This window comes from Homo sapiens, chromosome 22 (assembly GCF_000001405.40).
Source record: "Homo sapiens chromosome 22, GRCh38.p14 Primary Assembly".
Lineage (NCBI taxonomy): Eukaryota > Metazoa > Chordata > Mammalia > Primates > Hominidae > Homo > Homo sapiens.
The window spans coordinates 36,990,383-37,009,735 of NC_000022.11; the positions used below are offsets into that span (position 1 = coordinate 36,990,383).

At 47.8% G+C, this 19,353-nt stretch overlaps 1 protein-coding gene across 4 annotated transcripts; it reads right to left on the minus strand.

Annotated features, from left to right (window-relative positions):
* Positions 1 to 742: 742 nt before the first annotated feature.
* Positions 743 to 17,469, minus strand: CIMIP4 (ciliary microtubule inner protein 4). 4 transcript variants are annotated; one of them, XM_011530165.3, is made up of 7 exons: positions 17,347 to 17,469; positions 17,090 to 17,274; positions 13,584 to 13,643; positions 11,455 to 11,921; positions 9,458 to 9,602; positions 1,099 to 1,209; positions 743 to 894 (listed from the first exon to the last, which is right to left on the minus strand). In XM_011530165.3, the coding sequence occupies exons 3-7, from the start codon at positions 13,603 to 13,605 to the stop codon at positions 797 to 799; spliced, it is 843 nt and encodes a 280-aa protein (XP_011528467.1). In that variant the 5' UTR covers positions 13,606 to 13,643; positions 17,090 to 17,274; positions 17,347 to 17,469; the 3' UTR covers positions 743 to 796. The 4 variants fall into 4 exon arrangements, with proteins under 4 accessions (XP_011528467.1, NP_848647.1, NP_001157329.1 ...); NM_178552.4 differs by lacking the exon at positions 17,090 to 17,274 and having other exon boundaries at positions 11,455 to 11,902; NM_001163857.2 differs by lacking the exon at positions 17,090 to 17,274.

Genomic DNA, 19,353 nt, shown 5'->3' on the forward strand with positions numbered 1-19,353 from the left:
CATTACAGGAAGTCCAGAGGCCGGCAGCTTCTGGCCAAGTTGATGGAGCAGCTCTGCGAGGCCATGGAGGACCCAGAATGTGCTGCATGGTCTGCAATTCCTCTGGTCATAGGTGTCTGGCAGGAGTGGTCTGGGCTGCATGGTTCCTCATTCATTACATCAGGAAAGATGGATGCTCTCTCAGCATTCCCAGCTGAGAAAAGAATTTCCCAGAAGGCTGCACGCATCCACACGTTTCCTTGCATCTTATTGGCCCAAATTGAGTCATATGTGCATGACTGAACCAATCACGTGCAAGAGGTGGGGTTGGGGTAGGGGTAAAGAATCACCATGAGACCAATCAAACCCGCCACTAGATTGGAGGAAATGTGTGTGGCCAACTCCTCTGAAGTCCGTGTCTCGTGGGGGAGGAATGGATGTCTGGGAATAATTGGCATCTTCTAGGAAGAGCATGTAGGGTAAGATCCAGCAGTGTCCACTATAGGACCCCCTCACATAGGGCATGTGGGAGAAGCCAGGCACCCTGGGCTTGAGACAGAGTCATGCCCAGCTCTCATGTCCTTTCCTGGGATAATGGATGAAGGTACGTGTGTGTGCATGTGTGTGCAGGAGGGAGGACTAGGGAATAGTTTGGGACCCCAGGGCTTCTATCTTCCCCCAGTTGGTCTCTCCAACACCACATATCGGCCTCTACTCCAGTGTGAAGAAAGGCACCAAGCACAGGAGGACTCGGACCTGAGCCTTTCCTTATTGTTAGCACTTTATTTGAGTAGAAGACACCTCTACTGTGTCAAAACTAGTACTTGGAGCTCTTGGATTTGCTGTTTTCTCCATATTTCTCTTCCAGTGCTTTCTGCAAGTTCAGGTTCATAGCATTTTTCTGGTGCCACCGCCCTACAGCGAGCAGGAGAAGAGCCAGCACAGATTAGATCATCTGGCAGTCTCTGGAGTTGCCCAGACCCCAGGGATGACTCGTACCTCTTCCAAGTCCACCCCGGCTCTGTCTCCTGCTCTGGTTTCTCTCTGACCCTTAGAGCCAACACACCCTGCTGGTGGAGGACAGTCCCTGCCTCCCATCACCCGCAGCTCCTCACTTACCCAGATCATCCGTCTTCCTGCCATGCCAGTGTTCTAAGTCCCTCACTGATTTCTCAATGACCTCTGGTGTGTAAGAAGCCTTCATGAGGCTCTTTGTCTCCTCAGCAGCCCCTGTAGAATACCATGAAGAAACCCCAAGTGCCCAATTCAGTGGCAGTCGGGTACTCCATGGCTTATATTGGGTGTCAGTTTCCTCTACGGATGGTAAATTGTGGAACGGAAGGAGAGTGGGAAGGGTTTCAAAGTAAAGTCGTTTGGGTTCAAACCCAGACTCCATTATTTATGGGTAGTATAGCCTCAGAGAAATTTTTAACCTCTCTGAGCTTCAGTGTCTTCAACTATACCAAGAAATGAGATTTTTTTGCATGGTTGGAAAGACAAAATTATTGGACATTCATCAAGACATCTAGCAAGTGGCAACTAATACCTGTAACTTAGGAAAACTTATCTCTGTTTTCAAAATTCAAACATGCACAAGCAGATACGTTGCAATGATCAAGAGTCAGCAGAAACACCAAAGGACAAAATCTCCCAAATTAGCAAAGATTTGAATGATCAGATACAGAATACAAAATAAGTATATTTAGGCCGGGGGCAGTGGCTCACGCCTGTAATCCCAGCACTTTGGGAGGCCAAGGCGGGTGGATCACGAGGTCAGGGGTTCGAGACCAGCCTGACCAACATGGTGAAACCCCGTCTCTACTAAAAATACAAAAATTAGCTGGGCGTGGTGGCGGGCTCCTGTAATCCCAGCTACTCAGGAGGCTGAGGTAGGAGAATTGCTTGAACCCGGGAGGCGGAGGTTGCAGTGAGCCGAGATCGTGCCACTGCAGTCCAGCCTGGGCAACAGAGAGAGACTCTGTCTCAAACAAACAAACAAACAAACAAAAAACCTATATTTAATGATTGAAACCATAAGAGAGAATAAAAATATAAGCAAAGAGTAAGAAACCATCCAGAAAGAGCAGATAGATTAGTAAGAGAAGCAAACGGAATTTCAGAAATGAAACACATAATAATTGAAAAAAAATTAAACTCCATGGCAATAAGATGCCTGGGACTTGCTTTGAAATAATCTTGGGTGGGAGTGGATGGGTGGGAGAAAAGATGAGACAAGATCGGCTATGTATTAATCATTGTTGAGGCTGAGTGGTATATGCAACATCTATTTATAAACTAAGTTCTCTTCTTTTCCATAAGCTTGAAAATTGCCATCATAAAAGTTTAAAAAGAAATTCAATTAACAGATAAAATAGCAGATCAAATAAAGCTGAGAGAAAATGGTAAACTGGAAGATATACCTAAAGAAATTAATATTAGGATGCAATACAAAGAAATAAAAAGATGTGGGCTGGGCGCGGTGGCTCACGCCTGTAATCCCAGCACTTTGGGAGGCCGAGAATATATATATAAATTCTATATATACATATATCTAAATCCTATATATAATACATATATAAATTCTATAAAATAATAACATGTAAGCTGAGGTGGAGGTCGGGAGAGTAATTAAAGTTAATTAAAGTTTTTTTTTTCTTTTTTTTTTTTTTGAGACGGAGTCTCGCTCTGTCTCCAGGCTGGAGTGCTGTGGCTCAATCTTGGCTCACTGCAACCTCCATCTCCCAGGTTCAATCTACTCTCCTGCCTCAGCCTCCTGAGTAGCTGGGATTACAGGCATGCGCCACCACACCCAGCTAATTTTTGTATTTTTAGTAGAGACGGGGTTTCACCATGTTAGCCAGGATGGTCTGGATCTCTTGACCTTGTGATCCGCCCATCTCGGCCTCCCAAAGTGCTGGGGTTACAGGTGTGAGCCACGGCGCCCAGCCAAAGTTAAAGCCTTCTAAGGCCCTTAGTGTTCAGGAAAACACAAATGCCTAGATTAACTTTATAATTTGTTAATTACGCATATAAAAATGTCAAAGGTAACCACTCAAAGAATAAGAGGAGTAGAAAAGAACAAATATCAGATTGAGAAAAATAAGAAAGCTGATGTAAATCCAAAAAGAGAGAGAAAAAGAAGCCACAAAGAAAAAGCAGCACACCATCCTGGCTAACACGGTGAAACCCCGTCTCTACTAAAAATACAAAAAAAAAAATTAGCCGGGCGTTGTGGCAGGCGCCTGTAGTCTCAGCTACTTGGGAGGCTGAGGCAGGAGAATGGCGTGAACCCAGGAGGCGGAGCTTGCAGTGAGCTGAGAGCGCGCCACTGCACTCCAGCCTGGGCAACAGAGTGAGACTCCATCTCAAAAAAAAAGAAAAGAAAAGAAAAGAAAAAGCAGCACAAATAGAAAACGAAAAATAAGATCATGGAAATAAACCCAAATAGTCTATATCAGTAACGAGAATCAATATGAACGAATTAAACCCATTCGTTAAAAACCAGATGATGACACTACAGAAAATGTTTTCCAGGTATGTATCATTGAAGGCATATTTAAAAGGACACAAAGAGAGGATAAACATGGAAGAACAGAAAAAGATATACCCAGGCAAACACTAACCAAAAGCAGTCTGGTCTAACTATATCAGGTGAAATAGACTGTAGGGCAACGGCACGATGAAAAACAAAAACAATTGCAATTCATTAAGGTAATGTAATGATTCTGAACTTGCTACATTGAAATAATCTCAAAATAGATAAGGCAAAATTGACAGAACCACAGGACAAATGGACAAAGCTGCTATTATAGAGGGAGATTTAAAGACACATATTTTAGTAACTAATAGATCAAGCAAAGCATATTAATAAGGATTAGAAGATTTGTGCAGAAATTATTAACAAGCCTGTTCTATAGACAAATGCAGAATCCCTTACCCAAGAGATTGTTATTATTATTATTATTATCATTATTTTGAGAGGGAGTCTTGCTCTGTCACCAGGCTGGAGTGCAGTGGCGCGATCTCCGCTCACTATAACCTCCGCCTACCTCCGCCTCCCGGGTTCAAGCGATTCTTCTGCCTCAGCCTCCTGAGAAGCCATTACAGGCGTGCGCCATCACGCCTAGCTAATTTTTGTATTTTTAGTAGAGACATGCGCCATCATGCCAGCTAATTTTTGTATTTTTAGTAGATATAGGGTTTCACCATATTGGCCAGGATGATCTCGATCTCTTGACCTTGTGATCTGCCTGGCTCCGCCTCCTGAGATTTTTTTTTTTTTTTTTTTGAGATGGAGTCTTGCTCTGTCACCAGGCTGGTGTGCAGTGGCGCAATCTCGGCTCACTGCAAGCTCCGCTTCCCGGGTTCACGCCATTCTCCTGCCTCAGCCTCCCGAGTAGCTGGGACTACAGGCGCCCGCCACCGCGCCCGGCTAATTTTTTGTATTTTTAGTAGAGACGGGGTTTCACCTTGTTAGCCAGGATGGTCTCGATCTCCTGACCTCATGATCCACCCGCCTCGGCCTCCCAAAGTGCTGGGATTACAGGCGTGAGCCACTGCGCCCGGCCTGGAGAGATTATTCTTAAGCACACACAGATCATCTACAAAAATCACCATCTACTGGGCTCTAAAGCAAATCTGAACAATTTCAAAGGATTGAAATCATTACAGGGCTGTGTTCTCCAATGACAGTCACATCAAGCTGGGAGATGGAATCCACCCCAAAGACAAGAGAGCAAACCAAGAAAGAGGAAGACACCAAATAGAGGAAATCAGAATTCCAACAATGGAAAGAAGTGAAAAAAAGAAAATCCTTGGTAAGCTGGTTCAGGGATCCCTGGATACCTGGACACAGAGGGAAAAGGACAGGACGTAAGCTACCATTCTGCCTGCTCTGTGACTCAAAGACACAATGTCCAGGTGAGCCCAGCCAAGGTTTTGATTTGTATGTGGCTTGTCCTTACCATGGGCTGACCCTCTACTCTCCCCTCCCAGCCCTGCTGCATGGAGCAGATGAGGACCTTCATGTTAGCCCACAGGGGTGTTCTGCTCTGACCTCCTTCTGAAGCTGGAGCCACGGTGAGTTGGGAGGCAGAAAATACACAAAGGGCCACTCACCGTGGCCATATTCCTGCAGGCCATCCCACATGGTTCCCCCGCAGCCCTGTCTGTGGGAAGCCTATACACCCAGGACTCACGGCCATGCCAATACTCTCCCCACATGAAGTTCACCAAACTCTCAGGACACCCAAAGCCAGACTAAGACCCAGAGCCAGCTCCATTTTCCCCCATGCTGTTTCCATGGTAGTGAATAAATTTCATGAGATCTGATGGCTTTATAAGGGGAAACTTCTTTCACTTGGTTCCCATTCTCTCTTGTCGGCCACCGTGTAAGACGTGCCTTTCACCTTCCACCATGATGTGAGGCCTCCCCAGCTACATGGAACTGTGAGTCTATTAAACCTCTTTTTCTTTATAAATTACCCAGTCTCAGGTATGTTTTTATCAGCAGTATGAAAACAGACTATATTATATTTAATGATGTAATGTTAGAATCAAGAAGGAGATAAGGATGCCTGTTTTTCCTGCTTATAGACACCATTGTCCTAGAGAGGTCAGCCAGATGCTGATATAAAGGTAAGAAAAGCCTAGTGTTTAGGAATTTAAACTCTAGCCTCTGACTGGCAGGGTTTAAATCCCAATTCTGACCGTCCCTATCTGTGTGGCCTTAATTAAGTTATTTAACTTTTCCATGACTCAATTATTTTTTATCTGGAAAAAAAAATGGGAATTGTAGCATTTACCACATGGGATTCATGTGCAGAATAAAATATATATATAAAGTACTCAGAGCAGTACCTGGCATATGTTAAATACTATGCATAAATGTAGCCATTATTACTATTCAAAAGCACTCCTAAAGAATCAATAACTAATTACTGGAATTAATTGGTGAGCTGCATAAAGCTTCTGGATACGAGATTAATATACAAAAACAAAAATTGCATTTGTGTATACGGTATCAGCAGCAAAGTTAGAAAATATAATTTTAAAAAGATATCATTTTCAACAGCAGCAAAAAAAGAGATTCTCCTGAGTAAGTCTAACAAAAAAACCTGCATGATGTTTATAGAAAAAAAAAAATCACAAAATGTTACTGAGAGATATCGAAGGAAGACTTAAATTAATGGAGGTATATACCATATTCATATATTAGAAAATTCATTATAAAGCTGACAACAGCCCTTAAATTGAGCTGTAGATTCAATGTATTTCCAATCAAAATCCCAACAGGGTTTTTCATGGAAATTTCTGTTTATTAATAACATTTGTATGGGAGAGTAAAGGGCCTAGAAACCCAAGACATTAACTGGTGATGGTGGTGGAGGGGTGGTAGTGGGAGTATTGCCTGACCAGATATCAGGCTACTTATAATACTTTGGTGATTAAAAATGTAATATTAGACCAATGGACAGAATAGAGCCTGAAACTGATCTATGCATGTGTCAAAACCTGATGGATAACAGAAGTACCACTGCAGGTCACCGGGAGGAAAGATGAGCCTATTCAATAAAAGGTACTGAGGCAGTCAGTAACCCACATAAAGAAGGAATTGAAAATGAATCCCTACTGGGGAAAGATTTCTGGTGTTGTTGTTCCATTATTTTGAGGGCTGGGCACACAGATGCCCAAGGAATGCCTGAGCTCGTCATCTCACTCTTTATACAGCTGGGCAAGCTGCCTAAAGTTTCCTCAAGCCTCAGTTTTACTACTTTCTTAAATGGCTAAAACTCACAAAAGCCATCTACAGTTTTTGAAAATGAATCCCTACTTCATACTAAAAACAAAAATCAACCCCAGGTGGATTAAAGAGTTAAATGTGAAAAGCAAAACTAAAAATTTTAGAAGACTGTGTAAAAGATGATCTACGATTTAGCATAGGATAGGAGTCCCTCAACCTGCTCCCCCTGGCAGCTTCTCTAATTCAGTAAATAGCCATCTCATCCTTCCAGTTGTTCAGGTCAAAACGTTGAAGTCAACGTTAATTCCTCTCTCACCCCAAAATCTATTCATTAGCATATTCTTTTCTCTCTGCCTTATACAAATATCCAGAATCCTACTACATCAGGCCACCTTCACCATTACCTCCCTGAGCTGCTATATTGCACAATGGTGCCTTCCAAAATAGCGCAGGTGCACTAGCCCAGCTTCCAACACCAAGCCACCATCATCTGTCCCATCTGGAGTTTTGCAGCTGCCTCCTACCAGTTTCCCTGTTTCTGCCCCATCTCCCTATGTCCATTCTCCCCATAGCAACTGGAGTGAGCCCTTAACCTGAGCCAAACAGGGCCATTCTCCTGCTTAAAATCCCGGCTTGGTTTCTCATCTCACTCCGAGTAAAGACCTTCCAGCAGGCTTCACGACCCAGCCTGTTTCCTCTGATGTCTTCTGCCTCACTCCTGTGCAGCCATACCAGCCTCACCAACCTCAAACAGCAAGTATAAAGGCTAACCCTGGGTGGGTGGAAACAGAGAGGGACAGATGGATGGGCACACTGACAGCACTGTGTGGCAGGGTGAAGCCCTGATTCATAGTGTTTGCCAATTTCCAGAGTGTAAATACTACTAGCATGGCCAATTTTAAGACAGCATTTATGTGCCAGTCAGTTCAGAGAGACAATTGCCTCTTGTGAGCTGGTGCAATTTGCTATGAGCTCCAGCACACCCTTGGCACAGTTCTACTTCCCAGGTGGGATGATGGGACATGGACATTTTTAAAAATAGATTATTTTACATTTATGTAGACATTATCATACAAAGTTGTATGGAATAGCTATTTGGTGACCGATAGTTGTTAAAGAGAGAACTGGAAGGCAGGATCTGGAAGGCCCGGAACAGAGAACAAGCAGAACTGTATTCTCGCTTTCCTCCCTGACACCATCCCTTCTCCAAGCTCAGAGAAAACTCCAGAAAGGCTTCCAGTGGGCACCTGGTTCCTCAGGTGACAGGGATCCGAGCCAGGTGGAAGAGGTTTGTCAGGCCCTGGGAGCACTGGAGAGGGCCTGGAGTGAGGAGAGAGGAAGGAGCCATACCAGAAACAGCCTCATTTTGCAATGAGGCCAAACCAGAATGTGGGGCAGAGAGAAGCCCCTGCGTGCTGTGACAGGCATCTGAGCCATCCAGAAGACCCTGGGAACAGGATCATAGCTAGGGAGGTGACTTAGTGGTCAAGAAAAGACTATGAGGCTTTGAAGGCAGAAGGAACACCTGACTTTGAGTCCTAGGCACAATGCAGACTACTGAGAGTTCTAAGGCAAATGATCTGAAATCTGCCCGTGAAATGGAGCTAATAGCACTCTCCCCACCCCAACCAAACAGGACTACACTGATCCAATGGAAACCCTGTGTAAATGTCAGAGCCTCCAACCCACCCTTCCTTTCTTCCCAGGTGGCGCCACCTCCAGGCTCTGGAGAAGAAAAATGATAGCCTGACAGCTACTGAGTGCTCACGACTTGCCTCGGCCAAGCACCTTCATGTGGCACTTCATAAAGTCCTGCCAATGACCCAGCAAGGGCCATACTCTCATTATCATCCCCACTGTACCGAGAAGGCAGCGGAGGCTTGCAGAGGTTGAGGATCCCACCTAAGGTCATACCCAGCTAGTGAGTGGCTGAGCTGAGCTTTGAACCAAAGAAACTTGATATTGTCACTGTGACCAAAGGTGCCTGGGATGGGGCTAGGGGTGTGGGGAGCAGCAGTCCCAGTTCTACTGGGTCCTGGGCCTCCTACTGGCAGATTAAGAACAAGAGGTGGGGAGGGCGCAGTGACTCATGCCTGTAATCCCAGCACTTTGAGAGGCCAAGGTGGGTGAATCACTTGAGCCCAGGAGTTTGAGACCAGCCTGGGCAATATGGTGAAACCTTGCCTCTAGCAAAAATACAAAAAAAAAAAAACAGAAAAGAAAAAAATTAGCCAGGTATGGTGGCGCGCATCTGTGGTCCCAGCTACTTATGGGGGCAGGGGGGTAGCTGAGGTGGGAGGGTTGCTTTCTTGAGCCTGTGAGGTGGTGATTTCAGTGAGCCAAGATTGTGCCACTGCACCCCAGCCTGGGCAACAGAGTGAGACTTCAAAAAACAAAAGAAGGGAAGGAAAGGGAAGGGGAGGGGAGGGGAGGGGAGGGGAGGGGAGAGAAGGGGAGGGGAGGGGGGAGGGGAGGGGAGGGGGGGATGGGAGGGGAGGGACCAGAGGTGCCTGACTGCCAACTGGGATGAATCATCCACACATCAAGGACAGGGGACTGGATGTTCCCAGCACTCGCAAGCTGACATAGAGGACACATGGGCATGAAATAAGTGTCCTTGAAGATGTGCCCTGGGGTCCTAGACCCCATATGGAGTGGAAACCCCAAAGGCCTTCCCTGCCCAATGCCTGGGAGACCATGGGTGTTCACGGCCCCACCCTTGCCCTTTGACTTGACCTCGAAACAAGTTTGACCGCATGTTGTAGCCGAGGTCATAGTAGTCTGAGAAGACGGAGGAGATTTCCACAGGATTCTGGGTCCTGCTGGGCCATGAGCTTGCCCTTTTCTGGCCCTCGAAGACTTCATCAATAGCCTTTTGAGCCTGAGCAGGGAGGCAGGGATGACAGACAGGGGATGGAAAAGCAGTTTCAAGCCCCATATCTCCCTCCAACTCCTCCTCCCTTGACCCTGCCCTCCCCACCCCGATCCCACCTGTAGCCTGCAGCCCTCAACCTATTCACAGGGCTGGGGAGCTGGGGTATACAAAGGCCCCAGCCCCAACTCCTCTCATCATCTGCACTGCTGTGGGTGGGGGGCATCAAGTTAATGATCATAAAACCTCTTCCAAGCATTGAGCATCTGCTACCTGCAACATTGGGACGGGGGGTCTCTATAGGGTGCCACTCTTCCCACCATTTTATAAATGAGGAAAGCGGGCCTCAGGAGACCAAAGATCACCCAGTTCACATGGCTGGCAGGGCACAGAGCCCTGGCTTGCCTCCTACAACTGAGGCACCACACAGGGCAGCTCTGGGTGGGTGCTTAACTTTCAATGAGGCCAACTCCCTCTTCATACCAATAGGGAAACTGACACACAGAGAAGCTGAGCCCAGGTCCAGGGGCAGGACACCTAGGTTTGAGTTCCAGTTCTGCAATATATCAGCTGTTGACTTCAGCAAGCCTCTTCTCCACTCTAGGCCTCAGTTTCCCTACATGTAAAATGTGAAGGCAGGGTGGAACTGGATGGTCTTTGAAGTGGCTTCCAGCTCTGACACTTGCTGGCTCAATGACACTTGTGACATAAGTTACAGATGGGCAGAAAACACGGATTTCTTGATTCCAGCCAGGGACAACGGTGGCTGAAGAGAGAAAGGACTTCTCCCAAGGCTGGGCAGGGTGGTGAGAGGTGGTGACCACAGAGTCAACCTCAAATTGGGACAAGTTCCTCCAAGTGGGGCAGAACATGTCAAGACTGTGACCTTCCAGACTTGCTGGTGGTGGGGTCACTGCACTTTAAGATGACAGAGTGGAAGGGGAGCCTAGGAGAAGCCTGACCCCCAGCTTTTGTGACCCAAGCAGATCGTAGCCCCTCCTTGGGACTTGGTTATACTATCTGTTATAAAGGAAGCAATAACTCCTGCCTGACCTTCCACACAATGCAGTTGCTATGAGGGTTGAGATGGTGGCTTTAAAAATATGTCTCAGAATGCCAGGACAGAAAGAACATAGCATTTGACCAGAAACGGTAGATGAATTTTATCTCGTGTCAGTTGATTTGTAATGACTGCCTGGAATGCTATATCGGGTGGAAAAGAGTGCTGGCATTGACTAGTGATGTCTGCCATGAATGCAGGCTGGGAGGGTTGTGATACGCTCACCATGTATTTGTCAGCCTGATCTAGTGCAACTGCCTCGCTTTACAGATGTGGAGACTGAAGCCCAGAGAGGGTAAGTAACTTATCCAAAGTCATCCAGCATTTAGGATCAGGTCCAGGATTCAAACGCACGTCTTCTGATTCCCAATAAATGCTATCCATCCACTAAATGCTGTCTTCTTTGGGAGACTTGATCACATGGAAAACATCCAATTCACACAAAAGGCTTTTAACTGCAAAGTCATTAAGGATCAGAGTTCCAGAATCTGCCGACCCAGTTTGCACCCTCGTCTCGCACAGTTAGGTGAATTTGGTTGACTGACTTAACTCCTCTAAGCCTCGGTCTCCTTATCTATAAAATGAGGACAATAATAGTACCTTCCTCATGGGTTGCTGGGAAGATGTAACAACTTGTTATATGTGAAGTTTAAACAGTGCACAGTGTTTGGCACACAGCAGATGCTCAGGAGATACTGCTTTCTAGTGGTATTATTATAGGGACTCTGTACTCAAGAGTGAGTTTATCTTATGTCCTCATTATAAGACTCTGCATCACCCTCCTGGCCCCTGCTATGACACCTGCTCCTCGGAGACCAGCTGGTCCACCACATTGCTCCCAAACTTGTGGCGAATGTTGTTAGGAATGATGCTGCCCTTCTGGTTCGTGGGCGTGCTCCTCTGGTCCTGAGCCCCCAAGCTGGGACCGTCATCCGTCCCCTGGCATGGCTGAGCCCCCTCTCCCGAGGTGGCCCTGTTCTCTCTCGAGGAGGATCGAGAGCCCGCATTCTTCAGGGACCTGGACTGTGGGTCCATGCCCAGAGAATCCCTGCTGGCAGCAGTCGGGGGTGGAGGGGGAATCTCCTTCAAGTGGCACTGCCCTAGGGAGCTGCCTTGAGCGCTGGCTCCCAGGGGCAGGGGCTGTGGGGATGACAGACCCTGGTTCTTGAACTTGGAGGTGTCCAAGGAACTGTAGGCCGCTTTCCAGGGGTCCAAGTCCTGTTGGCCCTCCTTGTCATTCAGATGGGCCCTGGTGAAAGTGGTTGTACCTGAGCAGGACAAAGAGAAACAGAGGGGGAGGGAGAGAGACACGCAGACAAGGGCAGAAAGTAGAGGGTGGGGAGGGGGCAGAGATGGGGGTGAGGAGGGGAAACGGACAGACAAAGAGCCCCAGAGCTCCACAGCCAGAGAAGGGGAGAGGGACGGAGAGGAAGCGCAGGAACCAGAGGCATGGGTGGGAAATTAGGAGACACAATGGGAGAAGAGAGGCCAGCCTGCGTGCCTCCCACGGGCAGGGTTAGTCCACATTGCCTGGGGCAACAAGGGCTGCCGCCTAAGCCTGTCCCGCCTTGAGGCCTAGCTGTGTGACCGCAAGCAAGGGACTTGGCCTGTCTGTGCTTTCATGTCCCTGGCTCCATTTGGATAGTTCCCTTCCCCACTTTTCCATCTTGAAACCTCCCCCTCACTCTCCGCAGTGAGAATCTGGCAGCAGCGGCACTGGCAGAGGCGTTCCTGGGGCTAAGCCACATGCCTGGGAAGTACTGGAGTTGGATGGGACTTCCAGACTTTGCTTCCAATGCAAGACTGCTCCCCAATACCTACCTCCTCCCTTCGCCAGGGCTGAGAAGTGGCACCATCCCAGCCACCTCCCAGGCTCTCTCCTCCCCGCCTCTCCCTGTCTCCCACGTCCCTGCCCACAGCCTCCGCTTCTCTAGGTCTCTTGCTCTCAGCCTTCAGTGTCTCCTCACAGCCTGGCCTCATCCTCCACCCCAGATTACAGCTGTAAATATGTTTGGTGGTCTTCCCTCCAAAACTTCAAGTCCTCTTAAAAGATACATAAGGGCTGGGCATCTTGGCCGTCAGGCCTCTGAGCCCAAGCTAAACCATCATATCCCCTGGATGATAAACCTCCGCAGAGTTTATCTAAATGTGGCCATGTATGAGGATTCCCTAGGCTCTCATTAAAAATACAGATGCCTGGGACCCTCTCAGAGCTGCTGCATCAGAAAGGCCCTGAATCTGAGTGTTTAACAAGCCCCTGGGCATTCAGGTCATTGGAGGAAGATTTTAGCAGGATCGCTGCCCCAACTCACTGGACTCTCTTCTCCCCATCCCACCTGCCAGCCCCAGCCAACCTGCACTCACCCCTGGGGACCATTCTCAGAGCGGGCCTGACTCAGTCACGCCTGCATCAAAATCTTTCCTCTTGTCCTCAGGGCAGAGTGCCTGCTCTCGGGACTCCACAAAAGTGCCAGCCGTCTCTCCCTCCCAAGCCTTTGCCTGAGCTATTTCTCCTGCCTGGAACACTCCCCTCCACTCCTTGGGCTACACTACCCCTGCTCTTGGCTCACGTGTAACCCCATATATACCTCCCATCCATTGAGGCCAGGCCCCTCACCATGTTCCCCCACAGCCCTGCCCTTCTGGTACACACAAGACTCAGAGCACCTGAGTCACCCCCTCAGGATGGAGACCATATCGGGGTGATAATCCCTGCACATGGCAGGATGGGAGGGCTCAGTAATTCCGTTCCCTCCTTTTTCCTTCTGTCTTCCAACAGAATGCCCCCCTAGGAAGCCTGGGCCGATGGTGGGTCTGGAGGCCAACACAAGACGGAGCGGGAGGAGAAAGGGCCGGTGCCCTGCTGCCCCAGGGAGTCCCTCCAGAAGCCTGGATGTGCATTCAGCACATCCCTGGTCTGCCTGTCCTACCTGCTCCGTGGCCCAGCTCCATAGCCTCTTGCTGTGGGACAGGCAATTCCAAGCTTAGTCCTGTAAACAAAGCACCACGTTTCATCGTCTCAGATAACACACAGAGTTTCTGTGAACAAGGATGAGCTGGGAGCTGAACAGGAAGGCCTGTGGCTGTCTGCCCGCCCCTGATCAGAGGTTCCTAAGCTGCCCCTGGTGCCCTCTGGCACTGCCCAGACCCACGGAGCCTCTGCCCCATTCACTCATCACCCCTGGCACAGGGGCTGCCTCCTGGACTTCTGCAGCCTCTGCCCTCTCTGAAAAGCCCTGGCCACCCCCACCCCACCCCACCAGTCCTCAAAGACCTATCTCAAGCAGCCTTGGAACCCTGGGCTCATTTTACTCCTTCATAATTTTTCCTTTCATCTCCTCCTCCTCTTCTGCCCCATCACCACCACCCTAGGAGACCCTAGCAGGCCCCTGGCTGTGAAGCCCATTGCCCCGGCTCCCATCCTGGCAACCATTTGTCTTCCTGCAAATAGGATTGTATCCATTTGCTGAATGGTCGTTCGTGCTCAGGGAAGGGAAGCAGCTTAGCCACCACGAAGGAGAACCAAGAGCAGGAACCCACACTTTGCTCTGGTGTAAACTCAGTCTTCTCTCTAAGGCCTTGGATTCAAATTAGAGGGGTAGATTCAAAAGCCTCTGCAGCTTTCGTGCTTGTGTTTTGTTTTCTTATGTGATCTTTCTTTTTTTTTTTTGAGACAGGGTCTTACTCTGTCACCCAGGCTGGAGTACAGTAGTGCAATCTCAGCTCACTGCAACCTCCACCTCCCAAGTTCAAGCAATTCTCCCACCTCAGCCTCCTGAGTAGCTGGGATTACAGGTGTGCACCACCACATCTGGCTAATTTTTGTATTTTTAGTAGAGACAGGGTTTCACCATGTTGGCCAGGCTGATCTCTAACTCCTGGCCTCAAGTGATCCACCCGCCTCAGCCTCCCAAAGTGCTGGGATTACAGGTGTGAGCCACCGTGCCCGGCCTGTGACTTCGGTTTTGTTTGCTCTCTTTCCCTGGTTCTCCTTGGTTTGCTCATTCTGATGACAGCAAATGCCGTGTTTTGAGCTGCCCTGTGGAGCAGCCCATGGAGCAAGAAACTGAGGGTGACTTCTGGCCAAAAGCTCATAAAGAATAGAAGCCCTGAGTCCAACAGTCTTTGAAGAACTGAATGAATCCTGACACCTGAATGAGCTTGAAAGTGGATCCTTCCCCAGTTGAGCCTTGATATGAGAACACAGCCTGGATGACACTTTCATTACAGCCTGTGGGATACCCTGGGCCAGAGGACCCAGCCAAGTGAGCATCCTGACTCCTATAAGTTCTGAGATCATAAATTTGTACTGTTTTAAACATACAGTGTCAAACTTCTAAGCTTTATGGTCATTTGTTACGCAGCAATACATAGCTAATACATATTTTGGTACTAACAGTGGGGTGTTGCTATAACAAATACTTAAAAATTTGGGACTGAACTTGGAACCAAGCGGTGGTCAGAGTCTATAAGGATTTTGAGAAGCATGATAGAAAAAGCCTAAATCACCTTAAACAGTTTTTTTTTTTTTTTAAGCAGAAATCTGGAGTTGGAAGATGCAGTGAGTGAGGGCCCAAATGGAAGTGAGGAATATATTACTAGAAATAGTGGAAGAAAGACCCTTGTTATGTAGTGGCAGAAACAGTGACACTGTCATCTGCAGTTATGTGACTAATGAACTGAATGATTTAGCTAAAGAGTTCCAAAGAAAAGATGGTAGTTGCCTCTTACTTTCTTCTTGCTGCTTGTAGTGAAATGTGAGAGGAAGGTGATGAATTGAAGAAGGGACTGTTAAACAAAAAGATGCCAGTACTTAATGGTTCTGAAGTCTCATCCTTTCCAGATCCCAAAAGATGCTAAAATTAAGAAATAGCTTCAGAAGGCTGTCTGGAAAGTGTGCCCAGGAGTGTGACTGTGCGACCTGTTGTTAAAACTTCAGAAAGATCAAAGGATGAGGGTATTACTCTGTCAAACAAAGGGTGCTTTAAAGAGATTAAAGAGATGCCTGATATATCCTCTTAACAGAACCATAGGACCTCTAGGAAGCTTAAGGCTCCTCAACAGGAGCCTCAGTTAAAAAGGGGTGTGACTTTTGTTCAATGGAGTGAACCCCTGTAAGTTTTACTGTTGAGAAAATAACATCAGCAAAATGTTGGCAACTTCGGGTAAAAGGGATAGAGACAGTACAAAATGAAAAGATACCATTGAACAAAAAATAAAAATAAAAAAGACAAGTCAGAGAGTGGATGCAAGAGTCCAGAAGGCAGAGCTGAGAGCCATGGAGAATTATCCCCAGGCCTTGAAACCTAATCAAGGAATGTCCAACATTTGTGTGGCTGGATTTCAAAACCGCTATGGAACATTGACTCCATGTCTCCATTTTCCTCAATTTTGAATAGGAATGTCACTAGTTCTTATCCTATGCCTATCACATCACTGTATGTTAGGTGTGTTCAGGGCAAATTACTTAGTTTCACAGATCTATGATGGGGAAGAATTGAATCTGAGAAGCTGTACTTAAGGAACGACACTGGAGGAGCCTCAGCCACACCTGGAGCTGATTTATATGACCAGATTCTAGCTTTTAAACTGATGCTTTAATAGGATGAGAATTTTAAAGATCTTAGGAGGGGATGACTATATTTTGCATGTGGAAGGGATGTACATTATTGGGGGCCAGAGGGCAGAGAGTGGCAGGCAGTTGACATGGCTCCCAATGATCCCTGTTTCTTGGTATAATTCTCTCCCCTTTGGTGTGGACTGGACATAGTGATGAATGGAATGTGGCAAAAATGAGGGATGTTGCATCCATGATGAACTTATAAGAGACTACAACTTCTGTCTTTTTCACACACTCTCTGCAGCTCTCCTCAGCTCATCTTCTCTGACAGAAGCCAGTTTCCCTGTTGTGAGATGCCCTATGGAGAGGTCCACAGGGCAAGGAACTCAGAGTGGCCTCTTGCCAACAGCTCCAGAGTAGCTGGATCCTGCCATGTGAATGGGTTCCTTCTCTGGTCGAGCTTTGAGATGAGACTAGAGACCCAAGCAACACCTTGATTGCAGCCTGTGAGAGACCCTGGGACAGAAAAATCACCAACACTCCACCGGTATTCCCAACTCACAGAAACTGTGAGATAGTAAATGTTGTCTTAAGCCCACTAAGTTTTGGGGTGATTTGTTGTGCAGCAAGAGATAACTAACACAAGTCCATGTCAAGCATTCTCACATCTGGTAAATTAGTCTGGTCTTCACAAATACCCAGTAAGGTGTTCGGAGACACTACTAATTTATCTTCTTTCACAGATGGAGAAAATGAGGCTCCGAAAAGACACAGGACTTCACCAGGTGGGGCTAAAATTAAATTGCACATCTTCAAGCTAGGTGAAGTTCAAGTTAGCTCCAAGTTTTCTTTCTCCTCCTATCCCCAGCCACCAACCTGACGTGCCCACGGCAGCTCTGTACGTCCCAGTGCACTGCCAGTCCACAGCAGTCTGGACGGGCTACAATGGAAGTGTGGACTCACTTCCAGTTTCTGACCCAGAGAGAGAGATCCCAAGAGACTTTGGTCAAAGAGGGCGGGAAGGTAAGTCCAGTCTAGGCAGTCTTCACTCACAAGCAACTCTGAATGGGGAGAAGGAAGATGAAACCCCATGTCCTGGAAGAACCCTGGCCCTTCATAAGTCTCTGCCTCACCTCTCCAATCTCTTTCATAACAGCAGGAAACACGTGAACCACACTGATGTGTGCTGAAGCCCAGAAGTGCAGATCCCCACTGCAGAACTACTGGTGAAGACCAATGGATGGTTGCTGGGAAGTGGCCCTCCCCAAGATGTTCATTGGAGTTGCCATGGTGATCACTATACACAGGGCTCTGTTACCTCAGAGGGCTGATAGGCCCACCCGTAGGGAAAAGAGGCCAGGAGAAAGCCAGGATTGAGGCCAGGAAAAGGCAGGAGGGGCTTCAATTATTGTTCACTCTCTCATCCACTCTAGAATGTCAGTTGAGCCCCCACTACATGCCAGGTGTGCCAGGCACAGGGGGCTCAGATGCTACCAAGTGCAAAAGATGTTCTTGGGAGCTCAAAGCACTAAGTAGGGAGAAGAACTAGCTCTGTGTAGGAAAAAGGAGGAAGGACTTATGAAAGAGCCATTTGAGTTGGATCTTGAAGGATGCCTAGGAACTTAACAGTTTTGAAGGGATGAGAATATTAAAGGCATGGATGTGTATAACAGCATAAATGTAGGTCGAGGTCAATGGGGAAGGAGAAAGATGCATCTGGAGCTGTCTGATTTGGACACCCAGGGATCAGGGACCTGGGAGTAAAACTAAAGGAAGGGTCCTCTCTCCTATTCCTAAACAACAAGGGCTACAGAAGGAGATCAACAAAATTAAGTGACTTCTTTTCTGCAGAGAAGAAGGAGGCAGAAGTCATTGGTGCCAGCACTGGCCCATTCCTGTCTGGCTGTTGCTCAGCCTGGACAAAGAGTGGGTATAGTGAACGCCTCCTGCAAGCCCAGCCTTTCAGGATTTCCCCAGGAAACAGAGAGTGCTGTGGTTAAACTTGGAGTCCCCAGAATCTGGGCCTGTCACTTATTAGATAAGAGACTGGCCAAGTCCTTTAGCTGAACTTCCTTCACATGTGAAACAGATATCACCCAACACTAAGGATAAGGGTGATGGGCGAATAAAACAATTTTTTGCAAAATGTAGCACATTGCCTTGCACAGAGAGAGACATCACAAAACTCTAAGCTACTTCCGCAAGCAACCCATCAGCAAGTCCTTCGAAGTACACTAGATTTGGATGCCTTCGTCCACCTCCACAACTCCCCCTACTCCCTGGTCCAAGCCACCCTCATCTCTTGCCTAAGTATTATCTATTGCTGCACGACAATCTTGCCATAAACTTCGAAGCTTAACATACAACTGTTATCTCACAGTTTCTTTGGGTCGGGTGTCTACTCATGGCTTAGCTGAGTTCTCTGCATTGGGGTCTTAGCAGGCTACAATCCAAGTATTGGCCAGGGCTGCAGTCTCATCTGAGGTTCCACTAGGGAAGAATATGCTTCCAAGCTCATGTGGCTGTGGGAGGATTCAGTTCCTTGCAGTCTGTTAGACTGAGGGTCTCAGGCTCTCTCTGGCTGTCAGCCAGAGGCCATCCTCAGTTCCTTGCTATGTGGGCCCCCCAACACCAACATGACACTGACTTCATCAAAGCCAGCAAAGAGGGAGTCCCCTTGCAAGATGGGGCATTACAATGTTGTGTACCATAGTCACAGAAGTGGCATCCATCACCTTTGCCGTAGGCTGTTGGTTAAAAGCAAGTCACGGGTCCCACCCGCAGTGAAAGGGAGAGGGTCACACGGGGCATGAACACGAGGGGGCAGATAATATGGGGACCACCCTGGAGTCCACCATATCCTCTGACAGTCTTCTCACTCAACAGCCCAGCAATCCTGTTAAGACCTATATTAGATCATATGTCACCCCTCTAAACAAAACCTTCCAGCTCAACCACAGTAAAAGCTGACATCCTCCCATTTATCTGCAAGGCCCTACCCAACCTGTCCACCATTTTTCTCTGACCTCTGCTCCTCTCACTTTCCCAAGTGCTCCCTGGGTCCCTGCCATGCCAGGCTCTGCTGTTTTTTGGGCACACCAAGCACAGTCCCTCCTCGGGGCCTTTGCACGGGCTGTTCC

Bases quoted from the DNA above. Each gene is read 5' to 3' on its own strand.
- CIMIP4 (NM_001163857.2), bottom strand. From the start codon at position 13,605: ATGGAGCTGGGCCACGGAGCAG. The intron at 9,603-11,454 runs GTGTCATAGCAG...CTCCCTGCTCAG, and splicing joins AGCTGGTCTCCGAGGAGCAG to GCTCAAAAGGCTATTGATGA. The intron at 1,210-9,457 runs GTCAAGTCAAAG...GGTATTCTACAG, and splicing joins GCGGTCAAACTTGTTTCGAG to GGGCTGCTGAGGAGACAAAG.